At 36.0% G+C, this 8,994-nt stretch overlaps 1 pseudogene; it reads left to right on the forward strand.

Annotated features, from left to right (window-relative positions):
- APOOP3 (apolipoprotein O pseudogene 3) lies at window positions 3,448-4,335 on the forward strand (annotated as a pseudogene).

Raw genomic sequence — 8,994 nt, forward strand, 5'->3', positions numbered from 1 at the left:
CCTGCTATGCTTGAGATAGGACCACACTAGAATTGTCCCAAGTCTACACATTTTTTGATTGCCTCAGTGGAGATTCATGTAGATGAAAAACCTATTCATACATATCCGAACCCTAGAAACCTAACTGCATTTTGCATTAAAAAACACATTTTTTTTTTGACACAGAATCTCCCTATGATGCCCAGGCTGGAGTGCGATAGTGCCATCTCACTGCAACCTCCGCCCCCTAAGTTCAAGCAATTCTCCTGCCTCAGCCGAGAAGCTGGGATTACAGGCATATACACTAAATTTTCCAGAACTACAATTCTTGTGGATAATAAGATTCTCTGAAAAGTAAGAAAGTAAAATTCTACTTGGTTTTGTTCTGAACCTTACCTAGAATTGTTCGTATTTTATAAAAATCACATCATCACACATCCGTTTTTTTCTTTTTATTTTCCTGTATTTTTTTTAATGCGGAACAGCTTCTGATCTTGTTACTTCCCTTAAAATGAAAACTTTTTCATCAAAGAAGGTGTAAGCATTTCATTACTTCACTTGTGTTCAACCATTTTCATTGTGAATACGTGTTATTTTATTACTTGATTTTTTTGCTTCTTTTATTTATGTTACAGTAGTGTACTGATTTTTTGAATTTATATTTGTCAAAGTAGATAATATTATTTATGGATTCTATTTGAAGATTATAAATAGATAAGAGCAGAATATCTGTTATAAAAAGGCAGCTTTGGCTCATCCTGTAAAGTCTATATACTCTGTGATTCCATTTATGTGACATTCTAGAAAATCAACAGAAGGGGAAGACATCAATGGTGATCAGGGACTAAATGTTTGGGGGAGGGTTTGATTACATAGGAGTAGCATGAAGGAATTTTTTTGGGGGGAGGTCAATGTTAACTGCTGTGAATCTTGACTATTGTGGTAATTACATGACTACTTGCAGTTGTCAAATATTATAGACATATACACCAATAAAAAAGTGAGTTTTACTGTATATAAATTTTAAAATAAATTTAAATAATTTTAAAAACTGGAGGACAAACGGAAATAAAATCCAGAAAATAAAACAACCAAAATGGTGGCATTGAGTCTCATGTTAAAAACCACTAAACTATGCCTTTGAAACCCATGATTTTCCTGCCTCCAGAAACAGTTAACATCTCTAGTAAATGAACTACTTATTCCCGTCAGGGCCAATTTCATTCTCCTGTGACTAGTGTCAGCTATGTGGAGAAAAAAAATCTTTTTTTATTGAATTCATAGAAATGAATGAACTATATTTCAACCAAAGCCATCAACGTATTGGCAGTTAGAATGAAAACTTAGGTTACTTAATTCTAGTGATCTTTTTATTACGCTATACTGCCTTACTAGTTTTGTGTTGAAGTGGAAGAATACTGTGAATTCTTAAGTTTTTCCATTCATTGCCAGCATTACCCTTCTAAAGTAAAATAAAATAAAATAAAATAAAATACCATTACTCACATTATAGTGCCACCTGAGTTTACTAAGAAAGTAGAAAAAAAAAGAAAACGCGATTTTCTTAATAACATTAGCATTCACATTCCTAGAAGAAAAGTGTACTGTAATGTCACTTCTATTGACAAAAAATACAAGTCTCTTGTGTTTTTATCAGGTGTTTACAATAGGTCAGTGTTTTGGCTATGGTGTTTAACGCTTTTTGCCATTTACGGTATATTCTGTAGCCTTCTAAAACTGCTTTGAGAAATTTTAACATGTAGAAATGTTTAGTTCACTTATTGCAGGCAATTAAAATAGTTAAGGGAGGAACATTAGCTAATAAAATGTCTTAATTTGGATAATATCCAAATAATAGGTGTCAAAATGATGAATTAATAGCTCTTAAAACTGACTTGCCAAACTGCTATTCAACCAATTAAGCCACATGAGTAAGTAGCAAGAATATAACATTTAGATGACTATTAATTGGTAACTATGCTAAGAACCTGTAATTCAAATTCAGTATGTTTGGCTTTCTAAAAGAAGAACCAAATAAATATTGGTTTAATAAATTCGCTTCACAGCAATTGACACTAGAATTGAGTGTGAATTCAAATATTTTAGAAATAATAAACAAAATGTACCTTTATGGATTGTAAACTGAATCATGGATTTGAAGGCAGGATGAGAGTTCTTCATGCCCATGTTGCACATTGCAGTATCTGTGGCACACAGTCAGCCTTCAAGAGGTATCCCTACTTCAGCTACTCATGACTGAGTTTGCAATCATCCTGTCCACCATCAATTTAAAATTGGTAGTTTCCATGATTTATCTAGCAGGGGGGTGAGTGGGGTAGAAGTATAGATGAAATAAGACTCTCCATGAATACTCAATAAGATAAATATAAGCTGAAACTTCTCCTGCTAGTTATGATGGAATAACTGGTATTGGACTTGTCCTCCTATTGCAAACAACTAGAAAATTGGAGTATCTGAGGGGACCAAGAGTGGGGAGGCTGAGGCAACTGTAATTTGTAGAGCAAAGAACTTAGATAATAGAGCTGTGGAAGGAAGGAAGGAAGGAAGGAAGGAAGGAAGGAAGGAAGGAAGGGAGGAAGGAAGAAAAGAAAGAAAGAAAAGAAAGAAGGAAAGAAAAAAGAGAAGAAAGAAAGAGAGAAAGAGAAAGGAAGGAATGGAGAAGAAAGAAAGGAAGGGAGGAAGGAAGGAAGGGAGGAAGGAAAGAAAGAAGAAAAGATAGAAAAATAAAGGAAGGAAGGGAGGAAGGAAGTAAGAAAGGATGGGAGGAAGAGAGGTAAGGAAGAGAGGGAGGGAGGAAGGAAGGAAAAGAGGAGGGGAGGAAGGAAGGAAGATAGGAAGGAAGGAAGGGAGGAAGGAAGGAAGAGAGGAAGGGAGGAAGGCTGGAAGGAAGGAAAAGAGGAAGGCTGGAAGGAAGGAAGAGAGGAAGGGTAGAAGGAAGAAAGAGAGGAAGGGAGGAAGGAAAGAAGGAAGGAAGAAAGAAAGGAAGGGAAGAGGAAGAGGGGGGAAGGAAGGGAGAGAGAAAGGGAGGAAGGAAAGGAGGAAGGAAGGGAGGAAGGAAGGAAAGAAAAGAGCTCAAGGAGTCTGTGTAGCAGTCTCCTTGCATCTGTTTCTAAATACTAGGCTGAATATTCATAAAGGGAAACTTCACAATGCTTTTTAAAGAACCGCTGGGAAGCTATAAACTGAAAAATTCCCAGAGCACCCACAGAACTAGGAGACATTTGAGTTCCAACCAACCAAAGTGAAAAAAACCTTATTGAACACCTGGGGCACTTAGTAGAGACTCCAGAAGGATAATCCTTTACTGGTAGGGTTAAACTAGCTCTAGAGTAAAGGCTTCCCTAGACCAACCCTAACAAAGCTTTCCAAAAAGATTCAAAAGAATAAAGATACTCTGCAGGTAAACTAACTACCTTCAAAACAAAATTCACTTTAAAGAAAAATTTTCCTTCTGGAGCCGCTGCTGCCAGCAACATGTCCAAGGTTAATTCAGAGGTGCATGGGGCCAGCTAGCCTGAGCTTTCTCACCTTCAAAGTCTATGCAGCTCCAAAAAAGGACTCACCTCCAAAAAATCCCATGAAGGCTGATGAGTTTTCATTCTACTCAGTTCCCAAGGGCCAATATAAATACGTGGAGGAGTTAAGAACCCAGCTGGAAGAAAGCATCTCTCAGCTCCAGCATTATCGTGAGCCACATACAAGTTGGTGTCAGGAAACATACTCCCAGACTAAGCCCAAGATGCAAAGTTTGGTTCAGTGGGGGTTAGACAGCTATGAATATCTCCAAAATGTATCCTCTGGGTTTTTTTCCAAGACATGGTGCTATAATTTTGCTGGCCTTGTTGGACTCCTTTTGGCTAGAGGTTCAAACAGAAAGAAGCTCCACCTGGTTTCATGGCATTAGCTGCCTCTGTCTATCACCCACAACAAGCTATTGTGTTTGCCCAGGTCAGTGGGGAGAGATTATATTATTGGGGTTTACAAAGATATATAGTCATAGAAGATATATGGAAGGAGCACTTTCAAAAGCCAGGAAATGAGAATTCACCTATAAATAAGTAGAAAACGCCATGCTTTGCCCATTTTAATCAGTTATAGGTAAATATTGGAATCTCCTTATAATAAACCAGGGCTTCTACAGAAAAATGGCAGAGAAATCAGTATTGAATGTATTAAATTTGCATTCTTCTTCAGGAAAATCTAGGCCTCTGTTATCTTGGGTGATGCTGTCCTACAACCAAACTAATCTGAAATCCTTTCACCTAAAGATAACGTATAAGCCTTAGAACTCCTCATTCTCATGTTGCTATTTATGTACATAATTAAAATACAAGTAAAAGAAAAGAAATTTTTAAATGCAGACATTTAAAGCCTAAAATTTGTATACTAAAATCAGTATACATAAAATTATTAGTAGGCATGTGAAGAAGCAGGAAAAAGTACAGGGCAAATGAATCAATAGAAAAAGACCAAGAAATGACAGCAATAATGAAATTCACAGATAAGGACTTTCAAACACCTATTTAAAATATACTCAAAAATTCAAAGGAGGCCAGGCACAGTGGCTCACACCTGTAATCCCAGCACTTTGGGAGGCTGAGGCAGGCGGATCACCTGAAGTCAGGAGTGCAAGACCAGCCTGGTCAATATGACGAAACCCAGTCTCTACTAAAAATACAAAAATTATCTGGGCATGGTGGTGCACACCTGTAATCCCAGCTACTTGGGAGGCCGAGACAGGAGAATCGCTTGAACCCAGGAGGCGGAGGTTGTAGTGAACCAAGATTGCACCACTGCACTCCAGCCTGGGTGACAGAGCAAGACTCCATCTCAAAAAAATAAAAAAAAATTTAAAGGAAAATATGAATATAATGAGGACAGAGATGACACATATAAAAATAATACAAGTGGAACTTCTACACTGAAAAATGCATTATCTGAAATGAAAAAATTAATTGAATGGGTTTAAGAGTAGTTTAGATACTATAGAAGAAAAGATCAATAAACTTGAAGGCATAACATTAGAAATTATCCAAACTGAAGCATATAGAGGGAAAAAAGTTTGTTAAAAAAAATAGAGCCTCAGCGATCTGTGGATCAATATTTTGCAGACTTTCATATGTGTATTTGAATTTCTGGAAAAAGGGAGGGCAGGAAGGCAGAAAAAATATATTTGGAAAGATAATTTCTGAAATATCTCCAAATTAGATGGAAACTATAAACTCATAGATCCAAGAAGCTCAACAAATTGCAAGCAAGATAACTCCCCAAAAAACTATACCAAAGCACATCTTAATCAAACTGCTAAAAACAAGTGATAAAAAGAGAAAAATCTTAAAAGCAGGCAGAGAATAAAAGACACATTACTTACAGGGAAATAAGCTTAAAAATATCTGCTAGAAAAAAATGAATTTTACAGTGCCAAAAGAAAAAAAAAGTCAATCTAGAATTCTACCTTCAATGATAATGTCCTTTGACAAATTAATATGAAATAAAAAATTTTCAAACAGACGTTGAAAAAAAATTGTTGCCAGAAGACCTTCATTTCAAGAAATACAAAAGGAGGTCTCAGGCTGAAGGAAAATTAAAACCAGAGAGAAATCAGAAGTGCTAAATATGTGGATACATATAAAATAATATTTTCTCTTTTTAAAATTTCCTTGAAAAAGAATTGACTTTTTAAATCAAAGATAATAACAATGTATTGTGAAATTCATAATACATAAAAGTAAAGGCTATGACAACAACAGCACAAAGAATGAGAGGGTGGAAATAGAAATATCCATTGGAAGGTTATTATATGTGAAGTGGTACAATATTATTTGAAGGTGAATGTGTTAAGTTAAAGATGAAGATATAAATTCTAGAAAAGGCCAGGCGTGGTGGCCTTTTCCTGTACTCCCGTACTTTGGGAGGCCAAGGCAGGTGGATTGCCTGAAGTTAGGAGTTCAAGACCAGCCGGGCCAACATGGTGAAACCCTGTCTCTACTAAAAATACGAAAAATTAGCCGGGCATGGTGGCGAGCGCCTGTAATCCCAGTTACTCCGGAGGCTGAGGCAGGAGAATTGCTTGAACCCGGGAGGCAGAGGTTGCAGTGACCTGAGATTGTGCCATTGCACTCCAGGCTGGGCAACAGAATGAAACTCCATTAAAAAAAAAATCCTAGATAAAGTACCAAAAATAAAGAAAGAAAGAAAGAAAGAAAGAAAGAAAGAAAGAAAGAAAGAAAGAAAGAAAGAAAGAAGTGTAGCCAATAAGCTACTCTTAGAGATTAAATGGAATACTAAAACATAGTCAATTAATCTAAAACAAGGAAAAAAGGGACATAGAACAGACGTGGCAAACAGAAAATAGTCAAATGGTAGATTTAAAGGTAACCATGTTACTAATTACAGGAACTATAAATGTCCAAACTCCCGATTTAAAAAGCAGAGATTGTCAGGATTTTTAAAAGGAAGACTCAGTGATGCTGTCTACAAAAAACAGTATTTTAAATATGAAGACTCACATAGGTTAAAAGTAAAAGGATAGAAAAAAACATATAACAAGAAAACACAATTTATAAGAAAACTGGAGTGGATTTCTTAATATCAGACAAAATCAGCTTCAGGACTATAAATATTAGTGGAGAAATTGTTGAAGCTGGGTGACCGCTAAAGGACAATTCACGATACTATTCTATCTACTTTTGTTTATTGTTGAGATTTTTCATAATAATAAAATTGAGAAGTGAGAAATGTGTTAAGACAAACAAGACTCTTGTCTGTGTGTGTGTTTGCACTGAATATACTCATCACTTATTTTGGTTACCCATTTTGAGACAAAAATAGCTTTACTATTTTTGCATTATCAGTCTTATAGAGACCAATCTTTTCTTCCTTTATTACTCTAATTTCTCTTACAATGATTATAATACACACATTTTTGAAATAATGATACCTAGGGGTATTAGGGAGGGTTAATAATTCTCCTGGTGAATATGGGTATTAAGTTCTGGAAAACAGTGGTGGATTTCAGTTTTATAGAGTTCCTAGAATTACTACTTATTGAAACACTGTTTGGAACTCATATTTTATAGCTTTTTTTTCAAATAATACAGAACAGAAAAGAATGCTTTTTGTTATTAACAGAATTTTTTCTTTTTTCATAAAAAAAGAAAAGCAATTTGATAAAAAGGCATATAATTTACATGACAATAAAACACTTCACAAGTGCTATAAATAACATTTAGCCCAGTATTGAAAAGATTTTATCATTTAACTTCCTTTCTATTATTTATTCTTACAATAATTTCATACAGTTTATCACAGATAGGTATTATTTTATTTTCAATCTCAGTAAAGTTTTGTAGATAAGCGCCTAAGCTATTCTCATATTCAGAAGTCAGAAACAAAATATGTCTATATGCATTTTCTTTTCTAATTCACTAGGTATCACTCAAATTTCCATCAGAAACTGAAAGATAATATTCAACAGTATTTTACCAAATATACTGCCTTAGACACACAGCATTTTTCGTTATACAGTAATTTTAACATTGTATATTTTCATGAAAACATACAAAGCCCTTTCATATGGTAATTCATTAATATTTATTTAGCAAATATCATGTGCCAAGCACTTTCATGAACAGGAACATAGCTTTATTTGTTTTAATTTATTCCCTGATTTGTTTTGACAAGGATTTTAAAAGTGTTTTCAAAGATACATTGGATATAACTTGATTGCATGCATTTTCCAGCTAGGGATCATCTTAATGTCTAAGTCAGAACACATCATTGCACGCCTCTGCTCAAAACTTTCCAAGAGCTTCCTTTCCCTCCCAGGAAAGAGCCTGTCAGTTGCTTACATTGCTCACATTCGTGATTCTCGATCCTGGCTGCATATTAGAATTACCTAGGGCCCTTTTAAAACTTACTGAAGTTTAGGTCCCATTTCAACCCAATGAAATCAGGATTGGTTGCATCAAGTTGGGGGTTCTCCAGGTGGATTCAAATGTGCAGTCAGGGTTCAGAACCTCTACCCTGTACCCATCAAGCTTTACCCAACACATACAATCTTCCCCCATCCCTCCATCCCCCAAAACCTCTTCTACAACTTTCCCCAGAACCCATTTCTCTCTAGCCACACTGGCTCCTCAAGGATCTTCCAACATGCTGGGCATACTCCCAGATCAAGGCCTTGGCCTCAACTAATCCCTCTACCTACAATTCTCCCAATCACAAGTCTTGCTCCCTCACTTCTTTCAGGTCTTTGCTCAAGTTCGTCTTTGCATTGAGGGTTCCCTATCTCTGCTTTTTAAACCATACCCTCCTCCCACCATGCTCTGATACTCCCTAATCTCCCTTTCCTGTTTTATTTTGATTGGCAGCACTTGTAAGAGAAAGACATTTACATTAAGGAAGTGCAAAAATAGACTTGATTATTAGACTTCCTTTTCCTAAAAGTTCTATATTGGTTCACCTTAATTAAAACTGGCTTTCTTTTCACACAGGCTCCAGGCTTCAGCCATGGTCATTTGCTTCTTGTTTCTTCTCTTCTCTCTCCTGTGTTCTCCCTCATTCCTAATTTCTGTTTATTTCTTCATTAAGTACAGTTTAGCCTTCTCTTTAGTTAAAATTTCTCCTTCCAATACATACTGTTGGGAACTACTTGCACTTACAACTCTTTGTTAAGATAATTTCCTAAATAAAAATAGCTCTCTTCCACTTTAAGAACTATGTTGCCAACCATAGAAATAATTTTTCTCTGTTAAAAAATGGTTACGCATAAAGGCTGGGTGCAGTGAATCATGCCTGCAATCCTCACACTTTGGGAGCCAAGGTAGGAGGATCACTTGAGCCTAGGAGTTCGAAACCAGCCTGGATAATATAGCAAGACCACATCGCTAAAAAACACCGCCTTTAAAAAAATTAGCCAGGCATAGTGGTGTGTGCCTGTAGTCCTAGCTACTCAGGAAGCTGAGGCAGGAAAATCACTTGAGCCCAGGAGTT

The sequence above is a fragment of the Homo sapiens genome, chromosome 12 (assembly GCF_000001405.40).
Source record: "Homo sapiens chromosome 12, GRCh38.p14 Primary Assembly".
NCBI lineage: Eukaryota > Metazoa > Chordata > Mammalia > Primates > Hominidae > Homo > Homo sapiens.